The 18,397-nt window shown below is 40.8% G+C and overlaps 2 protein-coding genes across 14 annotated transcripts in view, besides 7 other annotated features; one reads left to right on the top strand and one right to left on the bottom strand.

Moving 5' to 3' along the window:
* SON (SON DNA and RNA binding protein) overlaps window positions 1-3,160 on the bottom strand; it is a 34,444-nt gene extending 31,284 nt beyond the window's left edge. For all 5 annotated transcript variants that reach the window (NR_103797.2, NM_138927.4, NM_001291412.3 and 2 more), the window contains exon 1: window positions 3,029-3,160. Coding sequence is in view for 4 of the 5 variants with exons in the window: in NM_138927.4 (NP_620305.3) it covers window positions 3,029-3,105 (77 nt within the window). In the remaining variant the exon portion in view is untranslated. The remainder of the gene's footprint in view (window positions 1-3,028) is intronic.
* Window positions 2,786-2,875: a silencer, noted in NCBI's record as "silent region_13261". NCBI's record gives its function as "represses an Ori minimal core promoter by ATAC-STARR-seq in GM12878 lymphoblastoid cells {active_cell/tissue: GM12878}" and the evidence as "EXISTENCE:reporter gene assay evidence [ECO:0000049][PMID:35858748]".
* Window positions 3,020-3,751: an enhancer, noted in NCBI's record as "NANOG-H3K27ac-H3K4me1 hESC enhancer chr21:34914753-34915484 (GRCh37/hg19 assembly coordinates)". NCBI's record gives its function as "activates a minimal SCP1, AML or CMV promoter by ChIP-STARR-seq in primed H9 embryonic stem cells {active_cell/tissue: H9 hESC(primed)}" and the evidence as "EXISTENCE:reporter gene assay evidence [ECO:0000049][PMID:30033119]".
* Window positions 3,020-3,765: a biological region, named in NCBI's record as "NANOG-H3K27ac-H3K4me1 hESC enhancer GRCh37_chr21:34914753-34915484".
* Window positions 3,056-3,115: an enhancer, noted in NCBI's record as "active region_18381". NCBI's record gives its function as "activates an Ori minimal core promoter by ATAC-STARR-seq in GM12878 lymphoblastoid cells {active_cell/tissue: GM12878}" and the evidence as "EXISTENCE:reporter gene assay evidence [ECO:0000049][PMID:35858748]".
* GART (phosphoribosylglycinamide formyltransferase, phosphoribosylglycinamide synthetase, phosphoribosylaminoimidazole synthetase) overlaps window positions 3,305-18,397 on the top strand; it is a 38,963-nt gene continuing 23,870 nt past the window's right edge. For 2 of the 9 annotated variants that reach the window (NM_000819.5, NM_175085.3), the window contains exons 1-10: window positions 4,081-4,133; window positions 6,842-7,027; window positions 10,878-10,973; window positions 11,445-11,619; window positions 13,742-13,853; window positions 14,641-14,709; window positions 15,314-15,439; window positions 17,261-17,348; window positions 17,594-17,679; window positions 17,863-18,031. In NM_000819.5, the coding sequence (NP_000810.1) occupies window positions 6,883-7,027; window positions 10,878-10,973; window positions 11,445-11,619; window positions 13,742-13,853; window positions 14,641-14,709; window positions 15,314-15,439; window positions 17,261-17,348; window positions 17,594-17,679; window positions 17,863-18,031 (1,066 nt within the window). In that variant the 5' untranslated portion in view covers window positions 4,081-4,133; window positions 6,842-6,882. Of the gene's footprint in view, window positions 3,651-4,080; window positions 4,134-6,841; window positions 7,028-10,877; window positions 10,974-11,444; window positions 11,620-13,741; window positions 13,854-14,640; window positions 14,710-15,313; window positions 15,440-17,260; window positions 17,349-17,593; window positions 17,680-17,862; window positions 18,032-18,397 lie in introns of those variants that run through there. The other 7 variants (XM_047440743.1, XM_006723990.3, NM_001136006.1 and 4 more) reach the window with 7 other exon arrangements.
* Window positions 3,316-3,765: an enhancer, noted in NCBI's record as "active region_18380". NCBI's record gives its function as "activates an Ori minimal core promoter by ATAC-STARR-seq in GM12878 lymphoblastoid cells {active_cell/tissue: GM12878}" and the evidence as "EXISTENCE:reporter gene assay evidence [ECO:0000049][PMID:35858748]".
* Window positions 3,916-4,205: a silencer, noted in NCBI's record as "silent region_13260". NCBI's record gives its function as "represses an Ori minimal core promoter by ATAC-STARR-seq in GM12878 lymphoblastoid cells {active_cell/tissue: GM12878}" and the evidence as "EXISTENCE:reporter gene assay evidence [ECO:0000049][PMID:35858748]".
* Window positions 13,903-15,102: an enhancer, noted in NCBI's record as "BRD4-independent group 4 enhancer chr21:34903402-34904601 (GRCh37/hg19 assembly coordinates)". NCBI's record gives its function as "activates an origin of replication core promoter dependent on BRD2, P300/CBP, MED14 and CDK7 cofactors, and independent of BRD4, by STARR-seq in HCT116 cells {active_cell/tissue: HCT116}" and the evidence as "EXISTENCE:reporter gene assay evidence [ECO:0000049][PMID:35650434]".

The following is an 18,397-nucleotide window of genomic DNA, read 5'->3' as shown; positions in this document are numbered from 1 at the left end:
TATCGAAATTCATTAATATTTTATCATACCATTAATAAAAAAATCCAATTAATTACAATAATCATATGTTGTACTGACTGTCAGATGTTTTACCTTTTTCCTATTTTAGATATTCACCACTAATAATGCTTCTTACCATGATCTACTTATATTTTGGACATTTCATTTTTATACAATTAAAGTTTTCAGAACTATGAAAATTAAGAAAACAGGTTTCTAAGTACACTCTTTGTTAAACAAAATAATTTCAGAAATCTAACTTTAGGCTTTTGGGATACCCACATATTTCTTTCAGGGGAGAAAAATTAATAAGAGCCCGGTCACAAATCAAAAGAAAAACATGTGGCCTAACATTATGGTAGAAACCATGGCTACATTAAAGCCACAGCTGTGCATAAATCACAATCACCATCAATAGTATCAAGGAACACAAAAGTTAGCCACAGGCACACTGAATAAAAAGGGTAACCTGTAACCTCTGTCCAGGCTTACATTGCTACTGAAATGCCACTGAACTTAAAAAGGAAAATAATTTATGTAATTTTTACACAATTATCAAGAACTCTGGTTTATAAAACTCACATAAAACAAGTGGCATTTATACCAACAGTAAAAGCATAGATGGCTTAACACATGTTCCATTCACAGGGCCAGAGAAATTTTTAAATAGGTAAGAACATATCATTCGCCCAGTAATTTTTACTATTTTTGTGTGAATTTGCAAAATTTTGAAAAATCAAATACTTTCAGCAACAGTTTGATTTTAACTTCAATTTTAGCTAAATGAAAACACATCAATTATGCTCCACTACCTGATAAAAGTCTGAATGGTCAAAAACCAAAAAAAATTCAGTAGTTACCTAATTATTATTAAGGAACATCTGGCTTTCTAATACAATGAATTGTATAATTATAGTTATAATAATTATCATTTATTGACTACTAGTGTCATACTGTTCTACATTAACTCATTTAATCCTAACAAAACTCTGAGATCACCACTATTATTCTTTTATAAATGAAGAAACTTAGCTGAAGGTCACACAGCTACTAAGAGGTGAAGCTGGTACTCAAACCAGAGGCCATATTCTTACACACCATCTATAACAGAAGTTCGATAACTTGTTTTAACTATCTAAATGTCAGCCTCATTACTCTAATTTACATAAAAGCAGATGAGAAAAAAAACAGCTCACTGAAATGGCAAATAATCAAAAACTTGTTTGCAGACTGATAACGCATTATGTGTTGAAGAGAAGCTGCATATTCCTCTAGTAATAAACTGCTTCGTCTAATATTATTTTTAGATATTCCTTCTGTAGCACTTTATTTTACAATTTTCCTAAGCATTTATACATAATTATGACAAATTTGAAAATCAGAAAAGTAATTATGGTTTTAAAAGTTAATCTACAAGGAAGTAATGATTTCATCTTAAAGCCAGCAATCGTTAACCGCATTTACTGAAAAGCAATGAAAATTTCAAACCACCTAAATATGCAACAGTATATTCCTACAATGGGATTCTATGCAGCCATGAAGAAGTCCAAAAGACTGAGACTGAGAGGGATAAACCTGTTCACAACGTATTAGCTGGAAAAATGATCAATACAAAACAAGATGATCACATATCACACAATACATGGGGGGGGAAATGAAATGACATGAGAATATCAATAACGTGAGTTTTTTCTTTTCTCCTTTTTCATGTCTTCTAAATTATAATAAAACGCTCATTTTCTAAAGGAAAGACTAGCTTTTAAAAGCTACAAAAACACACCTCGTTAAACTAAGCAAACAACTACTTATTGCAGCCAGAGATTTGTCAGGAAAATTATATTCTCTTAGCTCGGGTCTCTTCTCATCCAAAACACTACTAGCAATATCACAAAAATTTAAAAAGCAATGTGAGTGGATCTATTTCCACTTAAAAAACAACACATTCTGCAAAAGTGATAATTCTAGCAATAATACATCATTGCCCTAATAATCCTGTATTACTTTGGGCACTTACAACTGGTTTTCGGCCCATTTTCAAATTCACGTACTGCTCTTGCTCTCAACTTTTAAAATACAATTAAAAACACTTGAACTCGGAACACTTACGTTTCAAGATCTCTTTCCTACTTCTGTACTTTAAAGAAATGAGTATCTTATACAAAAGCAAATATCGAGAGACAACCGCTGAACATGACACACTATTTTCCTAAGTAAACAACCATTTCTTTAACAATCTCTTCGCCTTCAAATTTTGTGAAGCCAAGCGCAAATTATGTAAAGTCTACCAGCAATGACAAAAATAGCGTGTCAACTGGGGCAGGGGTAGCAAGAAAATAATAGACCTACACACAAAGTCCACTTTCACTTGCTGTAATTAATCGCAACCATTTCAAAGTCCCCTTCCATCTTTATCTCGAGTATTTTAACAAACTAGCAAGTGCATCAGTTTGAGTTCGTTTTAATTGAAACATTTAACTATCAGAACGGCTGACAGATACTACAGGACACTAGGCCCCGAATAATCTTATTAATAGATCCAGACCCCCAAGCGGTCTGAAGCTCGCAATAATAAAGAGGATTTAAGATTAACCAAGAAACGGCCGTTAGAGACCCTTTCCGGTCATAGGCACCGGCCGGCAAAATCCGCGGAGGCGAGAGGGGGAGGGGATACGCGGCGGCGGAGGAGGAGCTGAGGAAGGAACTAGGCCCGTCCCTGGCGGACAACCGGGCCTACGAGTAGCTAAACGGCAGGGGGGACCCAAACAGGGGAGAAGGGTGAACATCTTAACTCGGTTCTGAAACAGGGAGTCTTGGGTTACCTCGGAAAAGGCGAAGTTCCTCGAGGGAAAAGGAAGGGAGCGGCTGGGGGGGCGGTTGGGGGGGGCCCGGAAAATGGATCCCAGGCCCAGGCGGGGCCCTAGCGGGGCCTGAGCCGGGGAACGACTGCGTCTCCGAAGAAAGGTGCCAAAGAAGGCTAGGTGAGGGCCTAACGGTCCGTTGGGAGCAGAAGAATCTGGGAGGCGTTTACCTGGAAAGCTCCTGTTGAATTTCCCGGAATTTACTGACCACGAAAGACCTAAAAATCTGCTCGATGTTGGTCGCCATGGCGTCCGCTCCGTTCTCTCAACTCCTCCTCGCTAGTCCTCCAGGCTCCCAGCATGCCTCGGGAGGAGGCGCACGGGCCAATTCGGTCTCTCGCCTTCCTGATTGGCTCCAAAGGGAATGCCCGGTCCGGCCCGCTCCACCGAGGGACCAATCAGTGAGCACGGCCCTGCTCTCCTCTGCTGTTTCTGAGCGGCTGGGGTAGAGGTGCTGACGTTTGCGCCGCGCACGACTATGTCCGCCATGTTAGTGTCTGACGCAGGCGCCATTACAGGAGCCGTCTCTCTTGAGGCGACCGTGTCCGCATAAGTTGTCAGTCCCCAGCAGTGTTTGGGAGCCTTAACAGGCTTGCTAAGTGCCTGAGATTAAAGGCGAAGAGGAAGAAGAGCAAGAAGGGCAACCCGGTGTTTAACACACGGCTTTCAGGCGCTCTCAGGTGGCGCCAAGTTCAGTTTCGACAGGGATATGCATCCGGGAGAGAATTTTTCAGCCCCCGCCCCCACTGGCATGTGAGAGGAGGAACTCGCTGTTGCCCTGTGTCTTCCCCAGTGCGTTCTATAACCAGCCTCATTTTTTTTTTTAGCAATAGGCCGGATGTCCTAAGCGACCGGCATTCAAAGCCCGGTGCATTTTAGTCTCATCAGGAGTCAGGCGTGTCACGAGATTTTTCCGCGGTAGCTGCTCAGCTCTGACTCGTGAGCGGCGCACAATTGGCTAAGAATGGGTTTAGCATTTTGGCGCTCCCCCCCGGCGCTCCTGGAAACACTGCGTGGCACCCCGTACCACTGTCACATTATAAACGTGCTAAGGCTTGGGTGTCTCGGCTGGGGAGCAGTCAGGCAGCGCCCAGGGCGGGAGGGAATCAGACTAGATTCTCGCCGCGGAGACCCAGGGCCGCGCGGACCAATGGGGCAGGGAAGCCGTCGTAGGGCGGGGCAGTGAGGGGCGGTGCCGCGCTGGTCCCGCGCCGGTCCCGGTGGGCCGACTTCCGGCGAGCGGGCAAGCGGGAACCAGGTGGCCACCCGGTGTCGGTGCGTAAACCCCCTCCGCTTTTACACGGAGCGCGCTTAGGCTTTGGTTTGGGGATTTAAGATCGCGAACTGAGTGAAACCATAGAAACTGATTTGTAGAAATTTTCCTGTTGTTTGTAAATGCGGTGGGTGGGGGTTGGCCATGTGCTTTTCACTTGCTACTGTTAGCTGGTTTCTATTTGCTCTTTTACTTTTCCTGTTTTCTAAGATGTCAAGGCCTTTTTGTGTCTTTATACATTTTTAGGACATAACCCTAAATTGGTGTACTTTCTCTTTATGCACCCGTTGTCTCTGGCAGATTACTTGGTTAATTTTGTAGTTGGTTTCTACTTTATTCTCCATATCCTCTGATACGGCTTTATTTGCCTGTCTTATTCTGCTTATGTTACCCATTCTGAGGAATGAGGCCCAAGGTTAGTGAAGTCCCCCAAGGTCTTCCTGCTAGTATGGGGCAGCGTCTCTACCCAGGCCAAGGCGCTGTGTGAGACTCAGGAGCCCAGGCGTCCTCACCACTGGGTAGTAAGGCTATTTTCAGTGATCCACTAGAGTAAACAGAATTTTCCCACACTACTGCTATATTCAAACTAAAGATGTAACATTTGCTCTAGATTTAAAGATCTGTTTATTTCTGGCCGGATGTGATGTAATCCCAGCACTTGGGAGGCCAAGGTGGGTTGACCATTGGAGGTCAGGAGTTCGAGACCAGCCTGGCCAACGTAGTGAAACCCCGTCGCTACTAAAAATACAAAAATTCGCCTGGCGTGGCGGCGCACGCCCGTAATCCCAGCTACTTGGGAGGCTGTGAGGCAAGAGAATCGCTTGAACCCGGGAGGCGGAGGTTGTAGTGAGCTGAGATCACACCACTGCCCTCCAGCCTGGGCGACAGAGAGAGACTGTCTAAACAAATAAATAAATAAATAAAATAAAAAATCTGTTTATTTCAGATACACATGGCAAGTAAAATGTGTTTTCCCGTTACACTAAAGTAGCTGTTCCTTCCGAGACTGTAATTTAACAGGGTTTTTTTTTTTCCTTTCTCAAATTTTCAATGATCATCGTTTCACTTGTTGAGAGAATCTGAAGCAAAATTGCTTCTGTTAGGCTCCACCCCCTCTTACCTGTGTGACCTCCAGCAAGTTATTTACCTATCTGGGCCTCCTTGTCTTATCTGCAAATTGGTGATAGTAATAGTATCTCCCTCATAGGATTCTTTCATGACAAGCATTTTAAATAGTACCCTGCCCAAGGTTAAGTGCTCAAAAAAATGTTAGTTTTGTATATTGTCAGCTTACATTTTTCTTAAAATATGTAATCCCAACATCATCAAAATAAGTTTTCAATTTTCTTTTTCCTGTTACCAGTTTGTCTTGTGGTAAGTAAATGTAACAAGTTAACATTTACTACTGCTGAGTGCCAGATTGTACTTATTTATAAATGTCATTTCAGTTAATCTCCTAGGTTACACTGCTGTTGTATCCATCCTTCTAAGTCTCAGGTGCCAGAACTAAAGTGAAATGAGTTGGAATTTGATTTTTGCCTTCTCTACCAATATTCTAGCATATTGCGCTATTTGAATTAGGAGTCAGCAAACTATGGCCCACATACCAAATCCTTCTGCTGCCTGCTTTTGTACAGCTCACCAAATATGAATGATTGAGAAAAAGAACAGGAAATAAATGAGGTTTTTGTGACATGTGAAAATTTTATGAAATTCAAATTATAGTATCCGTACATAAAGTTTTATTGAAAGCGAGTCACGTTTATTTGTTACAAACCTTTGATGGTTTCCTGCTACTTAAAGTACTGATAGGCAACAGTGATCTCTGACCCACTGCCTGTTTATGGGTCCATTAAATTTTTCTGGACATTGGCACATTGATTCATCTTCGTATTATCTTTGGTTGCTTTCCTGCTAAGGTGGCCGAGTCGAGTAGTTTTGACAGAACTATGTGGCCCTTTTTGTGTAAAGTTTGCTTACCCCAGTTTTCAGTATATCCTTTAATTTATGATAACCTAATTATCTGTAAGATTTCAAGGTTTAAAAATTGATATTTTATAATACATTTTGAGTCTAAAACAAGATTCATTTCATAACTAAGGCATGATGATTATTAAATCTTTTTGAAGTGAAGCCCAGAGAAGGGAGATTATCACATAAGGAGCTGAGAGTCATCGTTTGACTCCTTAACCTAGCTCTCTAGGCCAGCCTGCCTTCTTTTTGAAATACCTCCCTTATGCTTATGACGACAGTCATATTTCTCAAATTATGAATCCCAGTTTTTCAAAAATGAATCATTGGATGAAAATGTCATTTGTATGAGTACAAATGATTACTTAAATTATATTTACAAATCTGGATTTCTTTTTTTTTTTTGAGATGGTCTTGCTCTGTTTCCCAGGCTAGAGTGTAGTGACGTGATCCTGGCTCACTGCGATCTCCTCCTACCAGGTTCAAGCAATTCTCCTGCCTTGGCCTCCTGAGTACCTGGGATTACAGGCACCCGCCACCATGCCTGGCTAATTTTTGTATTTTAGTAGAGATGAGGTTTTGCCATGTTGGCCAAGGCTGGTCTCAAACTCCTGACCTCAAGTGATCCACCTGCCTCGGCCTCCCAAAATGCTGGGGGTACAGGCATGAGCCACTGTGCCCGTCCCTGGGTTTCTAAAATGTGCATCCTAAGATATAAACTGTGGTTTTCTTTCTGCAGGTTTCATTTTCCTTTGGAATTTCTGCTTTACAGACAGAACAATGGCAGCCCGAGTACTTATAATTGGCAGTGGAGGAAGGGAACATACGCTGGCCTGGAAACTTGCACAGTCTCATCATGTCAAACAAGTGTTGGTTGCCCCAGGAAACGCAGGCACTGCCTGCTCTGAAAAGATTTCAAATACCGGTAATCATGTTTTAAAGTGGGGAGTAATAGTTATTATTTGTTATTAATGGTATGCTGTCAACCATATCTGTACTTTATGTTAATAAAGATAGGCTGGGCACAGTGGCTAATGCCTGTAATCCCAGCACTTTGGGAGGCCGAGATATGCGGATCATGAGGTCAGGAGATGGAGACCATCCTGGCTAACATGGTGAAACCCCGTCTTTACTAAAAATACAAAAAATTAGCCGGGCGTGGTGGCGGGTGCCTGTAGTCCCAGCTACTCGGGAGGCTGAGGCAGGAGAATGGCTTGAACCCAGGGGGTGGAGCTTGTAGTAAGCTGACATCATGCCACTGCACTCCAGCCTGGGCGACAGAATGAGACTCCATCTCAAAATAAAATAAAATATAGACTACTATTCAGGGTTGAGTGCTTTCCTTGACCTTAAAATTTATTTGGTAATTTGAATGCTTGCCAATATGTTATAAACTTAAGGTAACCTATTGTTCAGAATATGGCATTTCCTTATCTTAAACTGTTTTAAACCTGATAAAACACATCCATTGGAAAAGTAGTAAGTGCCTAATACAGATTAAAGGCATTTTGTTGTGTATTTTTGTAAATGGAAAGTTTAGTATTGCTATTAAATACAACTTGCGGCCACGTGCAGTGGCTCACGCTTACAATCCCAGCACTTTGGGAAGCCAAGGCAGAAGGATCTCTTGAGCCCAGCAGTTTGAGACTAGCCAGGGCAATGTAGTGAGACCCGATCTCTACAAAAAAAAAATACAAAAATTAGCCAGGCATGGTGGTGCACATCTGTAGTGCCAGCTACTTGGGCAACAGAGTAAGATGAGAACCTGTCTCACAAAACAAAGTTTTTAACAGTTGTTACTCTAATAGATCTCAACCCTTATCTCTCTCTGACTTTTTTTTTTTTTTTTTTTTTGAGACAGAGTCTCACTCTCACCCATACTGGAGTGCAGTAGCGTGATCTCAGCTCACTGCAACCTCTGGCTCCTGAGTTAAAGCGATTCTTCTGCCTCAGCCTCCCGAGTAGCTGGTACTACAGGTGCATGCCGCCACACCCAGCTAATTTTTTGTTTTTTTAGTAGAGACCGGGTTTCACTATGTTGGTCAGGCTGGTCTCAAACTCCTGACCTCAGGTGATCTGCCCGCCTCAGCCTCCCAAAGTGCTGGGATTACAGGCATGAGCCACCGTGCCCAGCCTCCACCCTTATCTCTCAATTGGCAAAAATGAAAAAATGGTCAGTTCATATACTACATTAAGCTTGTCAGTGGCTTCAGAAACTCCTCAGTATTCTAATAATACTCAGAATAAAACTCAAATTCCTTACCATGCCTTTCAAAGCCCTTTGTGCAGTCTGTCTTCTGCCTGCTCTTCCAGCCTGATCTTTTATATCCCTTTTTCTCTTTTCACTATACCCTATCCATGCTGTCCTACCAATTTCCCAAGCAGAAGCTTGCTGCTTTGGACTTTATATTTGTTCCCACCCCTTACTATGACTGTCTCCTCATTATTCAGAGCTCCACTTAAATGTTAGCCTCCTTAATTATATCTCTCCTACAGTTTCTTACTAAAAGCAAGTGTCCATCCCCATTTCATTTGTTTATGATCATGAATGTCTGTGTTTATTTTTACTTCACTATTGTCTGTCTTCTATGTTCTTTTCCTCCACTAGAATATAATCTCTAGTAGAATGTAAGCTCCATGAGGGCAAGGAACTTGTCTGTCTTGTTTTGCATGGTGTGCACAGTGCTTAGTTCCCTATGTGGCACATAATATTTATGGAAAGAAGAGCATGGACCCAACAAGCCACAAACTGGGAGAAGATAGTGGCATGTATATAAGACCAAAAGGAATAATACAAATTAGCAAATACCTCCTTTTCTGGGATCTTAATTCTACGGGTGAGATATTTGTTTATTAGAGAACTAGGACAGTTTATCTGCGATTGAGGTCATACAGGCAAGCCCATCAAAATCTCTTAAGATCATCATGAGACTACTACAAGTAGTCTTGTAAGACTACTAAAGAGACCTCTTCCTCTTGTTGCCCTCTGCTATACTGATATAGTTGACGCTGCTCAGCCTAGTTGTGTTCAGAACCACTAACCCACAGTGCGTGGTACTCCATCCTAATCACATTCAGGCAGTTGCTGCAGATTGAGGACCCTACCTTTTCTGGACTTGGACCCTATACAGTAGTCACCAGCCTATCCACAATTTTACTTTCCACAGTTTCAGTTACCCACAGTCAGCTGTAGTCCAAAATATTAAATGGAAAATTTCAGAAATAATTCATAAATTTTACATTGCACACCAGTCTAGCATAGCATGATGAAATTTTGTGCCGTCCAACCTGAGACGTGAATCTTTTTGTCCAGCATATCCATGTTGTTACTTACTAGCCCTGTTGGTTATCAGATTGACTATCATATTATCTCAGTGCATGTGTTCAGGTAACCCTGTTTTACTTAATAATGGCCCCAAAGCTGATGCTGGCATATAGTTATAATTGTTCTATTTTAGTATTAGTGATAGTTAATCTCTTACTGTGCCTAATTTGTAAATTAAACTTTATCATAGGTGTTTATGTATAGGAAAAAACATACTATATATATAGCGTTCAGCACTGTGGTTTCAGGCATCCACTAGGGATCTTAGAATGTGTCCTCTAAGGATAAAGAGGGACAACTGTACATCACAAATATCACTTCTTGTACTCTGTACCAATGGCAGAGTGATTGCACACTTCAGCTGACTTAACGAATGGTGGTCCAGGCACAGTGAAGCAGGAGAGCCCCTATGGAGCCAAACCATGTTCAGTATGTGGTTGATCCTACCACTAGTTACTTAGAACTCCACAGAAGAAAATTTACCTGACTTGCAGGTTGGAGAAGACAGGTTCCTCTTAAAAGCGTCATTGAGTTCTTAACTTAAACAGCTCTGCCCCAAAGAGATCCCTCCTGACCCAACCCAAAATAGCCTCTCAATTCACTTCATATCAAATTTGCTTAATTTGTTCATATTTGCTGTTTTTTTGTTTGTATGTTTATTACCCAGCGTTCCTACAGCGTATTGTAAACATGTTAAGTATAGGGACCCTGCTTGTGTTGATAAATTTTTTTTTTTTTGAGACAGAGTTTCGTTCTTGTTATCTACCCAGGCTGGAGTGCAGTGGTGCGATCTTGGCTCACTGCAACCTCCGCCTCCCCAGTTCAAGCGATTCTCCTGTCTCAGCCTCCTGAGTAGTTGGGATTACAGGTGCATGCCCCCACACCCAGCTACTTTTTGTATTTTTAGTAGAGACGGGGTTTCATCATATTGTTCAGGCTGGTCTCGAACTCCTGACCTTAGGTGATCCACCCACCTCGGCCTCCCAAAGTGCTGGGATTACAGGCGTGAGCCACCGCGCCCCGCCGTGTTGACATCTTAATACCAGTGCTGAGGACAGTACTTAGCACATAGTGGATTTTCAGTACAATTGATTGATTGACATTAAAAGACCAATTTCTGAGTATATCTTACGTTTTTTGTTTAATATACAGTCAATATTAGTGACGTGAACAATATCATGGAGGTGATACTTTATGGCTCTTTGGGAAGTTTATTGGTGTTTTCATCTGTCTACAATGATAACGGAGAACTGAGCTCTGTTGGTTAGCCTAATGCACTCTCCTCTGAATTTCACATGTTGAAACTGTCATCTCTGCCAATATAAGAAAACCAACAGATAACAAGCATACTAAAGTATAGAACTTAGTTTTTTTAGTGAGACACTTAGTTTACTTAAGTGGAATGTTTTTGTAAATGCAGTGGTTTTTTTTTTTTTTTTTCTGTTTACAGCCATCTCAATCAGTGACCACACTGCCCTTGCTCAATTCTGCAAAGAGAAGAAAATTGAATTTGTAGTTGTTGGACCAGAAGCACCTCTGGCTGCTGGTAAAGTTTGTTTCTGTTTATTGTTACAGTATATTCAGTGCAAACAGAAGCTTAGGGATCATCTAATCCAATTCATTTTACAGATGAGAATTTGTAATATTATCTTGGAAAAAGAGCTTCCACTCTCGAAATTTATGGAGTCTAGATTTTTTTTCCCAAGCATCAGTTATATGATGAGTTAGAGATCAAATTTGCAGCCATGGAAAACATTTTATATGTCTTTATTCTGCTGTATTCTGGTGTGTGTTTAATAATCCATATATGCAAATATAACAACTTTTGATAGATTTGAATAACATGTTAATAGCATTTTATCTCTATCCAGTAGACAACATGAAAAAGTTAGTTATCCTCTGCCACCAGTCATCTGCCTTGTCTAGATGTAGATATAGTCTGATACTAATTCGTCTTCAGGCTGAAAAGCCCCTGGGGAGACCTTGGTTCACCTAAGGCTACTGTTTTCATCAATAGGGATTGTTGGGAACCTGAGGTCTGCAGGAGTGCAATGCTTTGGCCCAACAGCAGAAGCGGCTCAGTTAGAGTCCAGCAAAAGGTTTGCCAAAGAGTTTATGGACAGACATGGAATCCCAACCGCACAATGGAAGGCTTTCACCAAACCTGAAGAAGCCTGCAGCTTCATTTTGAGGTAGGTAAATGGTTGTCTGTGAAGGACAGTTGTTTAGTTTTGATATTTAAATACACAGGTCAGTGGCCAGGCACAGTAGCTCACCTGTAATCCCAGCACTTTGGGAGGCCAAGGCAGGTGAATCACTTGAGCTCAGGAGTTAGAGACCAGCCTGGGTACCATGGTAAAACCCTGTCTCTACAAAAAATACAGAAAAAAAAAAGCCGGGCATGATGGTGTGCACCTGTAGTCCCAGCTCCTCTAAAGGCCAAGGTGGGAGGATCACTTGAACCCAGGAGGCGGAGGCTGCACTGAGCCAAGATTGTGCCACTGCACTGCAGCCTGGGTGACAGAGTGAGACCCTGTCTCAAAAAAATTAAATAAATATACAGGTCACTTCTGTGTTGAAAATGTAATGCTAGGTCTTTAGGCTGTCTCAAGATGTAGTAAGATAATTAAGGAAAAAACTTTCTCAATAAATATTATGTGGGTTGTCGTTTTCCAGAACCAAAATAAAATGGGATCCTATGCATACAGAGTTTATATGATCTTGTGGCCTTGCAGGAAGATGACATTTTTAATAAAATCTGAGTAGTTCCTCAGGGGAAAAATACACTTGGTTCTGCAGTTGTGCGCTCTTCACAGCCATGTTTTTGGTTTTTGGTTCCCCGCCCCCCACCACCACCCCCCAACCTGAGACGGGGCCTCTCTCTGTCACCCAGGCTGGAGTGCAGTGGCGTGATCTTGGCTCACAGCAGCCTCTGCTTCCTGGACTCAAGTGATCCTCCCACCTCAGCCTCCCAAGTAGCTGGGACAATAGGCACACACCACTACTCCCAGCTAGTTTTTATATTTTTTGTAGAGACGGAGTTTTACCATGTTTCCCAGGCCGGTCTCAAACTCTTAAGCTCAAGAGATCCGCCTCTCTCTGCCTCCCAAAGTGCTGGGATTACAGGCATGAGCCGTAACACTAGGCCTCACGGTCAGATTGACAAACGCAGTGGCATCTTACAACATAAAGAACATTGATTTTTTTTGTCATAAATAATTAACCAGAGTGAGTAATCATCACTTGGTCATCTGCCACCACTATTGCCATTTTATTTTATTTATTTATTTATTTATTTTTATTTTTATTTATTTATTTATTTTTTTTTTTTTGAGTCTCGTTCTTTCACCCAGGCCGGACTGCAGTGGCGCTATCTCTATCTCGGCTCACTGCAAGCTCCGCCTCCCAGGTTCATGCCATTCTGCTGCTTCAGCCTCCCGAGTAGCTGGGAATACAGGCGCCCACCACCACTCCAGGCTAATTTTTTGTATTTTTAGAAGAGACGGGGTTTCACTGTGTTAGCCAGGATGGTCTCGATCTCCTGACCTCGTGATCCGCCCGCCTCGGCCTCCCAAAGTGCTGGGATTACAGGCGTGAGCCACCGCGCCTGGCCACTATTGCAATTTTAAATTTCAAAATTAAACATCCTTTGTTCTCTATTATGTGGAAAGCATTGAGCAATTAATGAGTGTTAGTAGACACATGCATTTGCCCTTTTTTTGTTGGCACTTCTGCTTCCTGGTTATGTTTTCCTTTCAGTTGTGTCAGTTTCATTTTTTTTTCATTCATATCCTAAAGAGTTTCTTAAACACTGAATATTATTATTTCCTAGCAGCCAGATGCCTTGAGCAAGTAACAGTTTTGTTACTTACTTTGGGTAAGTCTCCTTCCAGACCCCCAGGCCCACTTGATAATTTCATATGTGTACTCCCAGAAATGGTCTGTGTATGCTTACTGTTGTTATACAGCCGCATTTTCTACCTGAATGAGAGTACTATTTGCTACTTTGTATCTTAGAGATTATGCCATATCTACTCTATACATCTACTTATTCTTCCAAAGATATTGCCTATGTAATCTCATGATAAATGAAAAAAGCAAAATTGTAGGTACTGTATGATTGGAACTACAAAGGAATACGTAGGGGAAAAAATCCTGGTGGGAAGTACATCAAAATGTGTTGGAATGATAATTAATTTTTTTCTTTCTGCTTTTCAGTCATTGCTATAGCATATCGTTACAAAATCCCACAGCATTTTAAAATCTTGAGTTGTAATGGTTTATTGGATGTTGACGATTACTCTGTCTTTACAGTGCAGACTTCCCTGCTTTGGTTGTGAAGGCCAGTGGTCTTGCAGCTGGAAAAGGGGTGATTGTTGCAAAGAGCAAAGAAGAGGCCTGCAAAGCTGTACAAGAGATCATGCAGGTAGGCTGGGTCTTCTGAAAAAATTTACTTTTCTATTCATACTGAATAAATACCGTTTTAAGTTTAAAAAATGTTCCTCACAATAAGGAAAATCTATTTTGCAAACATATGGGTAAGTTATTTTTTATAATCCCATGTATTATAATCCATCTCTATAAAATAGTTATGGATTTACACTGTAAATTAAACCATGATTGTATTATTTTGAAGTAAATTGTAACATCCTTTGTTGTCTGCCACTGAAAGAAAATCCTCAGACTCTAGAACATATAAATAAATTATCAAGCCATCCATGAGGACAAAAGTATTTGTCCCACATGTCCCGGGTCTAAGAGAAGTAAATTAATGAATGAATATGCCTTGTCTTTCGTGATCGATCTTTGTTGTTGTGGGTTTTCTGTCCTTGTAGAAGTCTACTTTCACAAGCATGCTTTAGTATAGTTATTACAGCCAAACATGTATAATTATAATCGGAAGTAAGGATTAAGTGGCGATAATGAAAACATCTGTTTTTCCCATACCTTATTTGAAACTGGATCACCAAATCTTCAGGAGAATATTAGAGGTGTGTTTATTCCGTCTGTACCAGTGTTAGCTACACTATTGCCACATTAAAAATAGGAAACATTTATATGTTCCCTTTGAGTCTTTCTGAAAGGGAAAGAAAAATTACAGTACTCACTGGTTCATAATACAAATGCTGGATAATGCTAAAAGTCAACTAAGTATCAAAAACTTACCAAGCCTCTTTTTTTAAAAAAAAAAAAAAAAAAAATCTTACAATCAGGAGAAAGCCTTTGGGGCAGCTGGAGAAACAATTGTCATTGAAGAACTTCTTGACGGAGAAGAGGTGTCGGTATGTATATTCATCTTTTTGGCTTTTGTAGTGTATAAGAAGCTGTCATCTGACCTGTGTACCCCAGAAAAGACTTGATATACTCTGGTTGCTTCATCTAAAAACATAAACCCAGCAGTTACAAAGGAATTTGTATACTTTTATTGTTGGGGGTGCAAATGAAAAAATAATCGATCCTCTGTTAGTCATCCCTAGTGTGTTAGTGGGGGCACTTGGACTTACACACTATTGAGGTTCTGGATTAATTCAAGCATTCATGCTTTTTCTTTCATATACAGTTTATTGCACAATAAATAAAGTCACCTTAAACCAAGTTTTAATGCCTGGAAGCTTAAAGTGGGGGAAAGGTTGAAATCTTTTACTTTGAGAGTAGCTTGATTTTTTCTGACTTCCCTCAAAAATTACAAATCCTTCAGAAGTTGAGTACATTATGATTCTTGATGTATGTAGCTTAATGTTATTGACGTTTCGGTTCATTTCTCTGCAAAAAAAAAAACAAACTTTTCCTCAAAGAAGAATTAAGGGACATATAGTTTGCCTCACTAAATTTTTTTTTTTAGTTTTTGACAGTTAACATAAATGGACTATTTTGTTTTCTTTATAGTGTCTGTGTTTCACTGATGGCAAGACTGTGGCCCCCATGCCCCCAGCACAGGACCATAAGCGATTACTGGAGGGAGATGGTGGCCCTAACACAGGGGGAATGGGAGCCTATTGTCCAGCCCCTCAGGTACTTCCCGAAGACTCTGCTGAAGTCTTGTAGTAGTTTGGTTTTCTCAGAGAACTCTTAGATGATACTTTCTATTTTGTTTTGTTTTCTGTTTGTTTGTTGCTATGAATTATGTTACTAATCAGCAATTAAATGAGGAGTATCTTTTCTGGTCTCTAAAACTAACTTTTCCTAAAAGCCTTTTTTGAAGAACTAAAATAAGCCAATCTAAAGTATAGTATGGGTTGAATAGATCCTCCTATTCCCTCCTCTCTGCAGCCAATTTTTAACACATGGGAGCCTGTCGTGGTCTTGGATTCATCTTTGGATATCCGTGGTTCAGCACAAAAGTGTTGTCTGTGTGTATCTGTGTGTGTGTGTGATATGAATTGAGAACCAAGTCACATCAGAATTTCTAGTGTGCGTGTGATATGAATTGAGAACCAAGTCAGATCAGAATTTCTTGTGTGTGTGTGATATGAATTGAGAACCAAGTCAGATCAGAATTTGTTCTGATCTTTCTACTTCATAACAGACAACACGTTTCCAAACAATTTCGGCACAGTTTTTGTTTTTGTTGTTGTTTTTTGAGACGGAGTCTCGCTCTGTTACCAGGCTGGGGTGCAGTGGCACGATCTTGGCTCACTACATCCTCCACCTCCTGGGTTCAAGTGATTCTCCTGCCTCAGCCTCACAAGTAGCTGGGACTACAGGCACAGGCCACCACGCCAGGCTAATTTTTGTATTTTTAGTAGAGATGGGGTTTCACCATGTTGGCCAGTATGGTCTGGATCTCTTGACCCGTGATCTGCCCACCTCGGCCTCCCAAAGTGCTGGGATTACAGGCGTGAGCTACCATGCCTGGCCTTCTGCACAGTTTTTTTTAGGAATTTGTGCTGTTGGCATATAAGTAGGTTAACAATCCGAAAACTCACCTATTCTTTTCATTGAAGATAGTCATAATGTTTGTGCTAATGTAGTGCCCCTTTACATATTTTTCTTGCTTAAAAGATTAAAAATAGGCCAGGCGCAGTGGCTCATGCCTGTAATCCCAGCACTTTGGGAGGCCGAGGCAGGTGGATAACCTGAGGTCGGGAGTTTGAGACCAGCCTGGCCAACATGGAGAAACCCCGTCTCTACTGAAAATACAAAAATTAGCTGGGCGCGATGGCACATGCCTGTAGTCCCAGTCCCAGCTACTTGGGAAGCTAAGGTAAGAGAATCACTTGAACCCGGGAGGCGGAGGTTGTGGTGAGCCAAGATTGCGCCATTGCACTCCAGCCTGGACAACAAAAGTGAAACTTCACCTCAAAAAAAAAAAAAAAAAAAGATTAAACATAAACTTCATTTTTTTTAAAAGACTTCATAAGTGTAGGCCAGGCACAGTGGTTCACACCTGTAATCCAAACACTTGTATTAAAACTACCATTTGGTAATAGTGTATTCTAAGAACTATATCTGGGTCTAATTTTTACAATTAAATTCATAAACCCAGAATCTTACATATATAGACTTATGAAATATGCAGCGTATACTGGGAAGAGTACAAAGAAGCCTTAGGGTAGGAGAGAACTTGTTTCATTTCTATTACGTTTCGGGAAGTTATTTTTGGCTAGTTCTTTTAAGAGTGTATTTTTTGAAAATCATAAAGCTAAAATACCTACTTGACAGAGTCATTGTGAGGATTGAGAAAGTTTAAATCTTTCAAGTTCAAAGTGTTCAGCATGTTTCAGGTAGTAAAAAAATGAGTTATCCTCATCATCCCCTTCTGTTGTCCCATGTAATACTACTTAGACTTTTTAAGTTACCTGTTACATTTAACTGTTTCTGCACGTTCTCCAGGTTTCTAATGATCTATTACTAAAAATTAAAGATACTGTTCTTCAGAGGACAGTGGATGGCATGCAGCAAGAGGGTACTCCATATACAGGTAGGCCCACCCACATTACTATGGAAGCCACCTATAGAGTAACTTTCTACTTTTGATAAAACTTATTTTCCATTCCCTTTTTTTTTTTTTTTTACCACTTTTTAATGGACCATTTTTTAAATGTTTATGATTTTTCCAAAACTTTGATTATTAGAAGTTTATGTAGTAGATTTTATATTTGTAATACAGTGTCTTCATCATAGATTTTCTTTCTCTCTTTTTTTTTTTTTTCTTTTTTAATGAAGGTATTCTCTATGCTGGAATAATGCTGACCAAGAATGGCCCAAAAGTTCTAGAGTTTAATTGCCGTTTTGGTGATCCAGAGTGCCAAGTGGGTAAAAATATCAAAGTATTACTTGGTAGAAGATATGTGGTATTTTAATCTTGGAATTTATCAGCCTGGAAGTAATTACCTTTGGGAAATTCATGCAAGTTCTGCTAGTACACCAGTGAATAAAATGTTTAAGGAAAACTAAAATTTATCCCACCTGCCATGTGGATTATGTTTTTCCAGGTAATCCTCCCACTTCTTAAAAGTGATCTTTATGAAGTGATTCAGTCCACCTTAGATGGACTGCTCTGCACATCTCTGCCTGTTTGGCTAGAAAACCACACCGCCCTAACTGTTGTCATGGCAAGTAAAGGTTATCCTGGAGACTACACCAAGGGTGTAGAGATAACAGGTGAGTGTCAGGGAGCAAGAGGTTGGAGTACAACGTGACAAGTGCCAGCACCACAGCAGACCCCCCTCTCACACTAAGGCTTGCTCTCGATAAGAGTGTGAAGCCATCAGAAACCTTTCAGAGGGTCTTAACCATGTTGCTTATTGGATATGTGTGTTCAAATATCCGCAATTACTGTATTCAGAGAACCGTTGATTTCCCTTCCTGTGCAAGGAAGACATAAGTGGCAGAACCACATCTCCCGAGTGTCACCCAGTGCAGCCTTCCACTTCCACCTGCCTAGAGCCAGGGTAATAATGAGATTCTCTGAGAGTCAGAGGAACATTAGTACAAAGTATATCAATAAGATATATTTTAGAGGTGAGG

The sequence above is a fragment of the Homo sapiens genome, chromosome 21, assembly GCF_000001405.40.
Source record: "Homo sapiens chromosome 21, GRCh38.p14 Primary Assembly".
Lineage (NCBI taxonomy): Eukaryota > Metazoa > Chordata > Mammalia > Primates > Hominidae > Homo > Homo sapiens.
The sequence above is the reverse complement of the archived record's forward strand: the minus strand, read 5'-3'. Positions and strand labels throughout refer to the sequence as shown.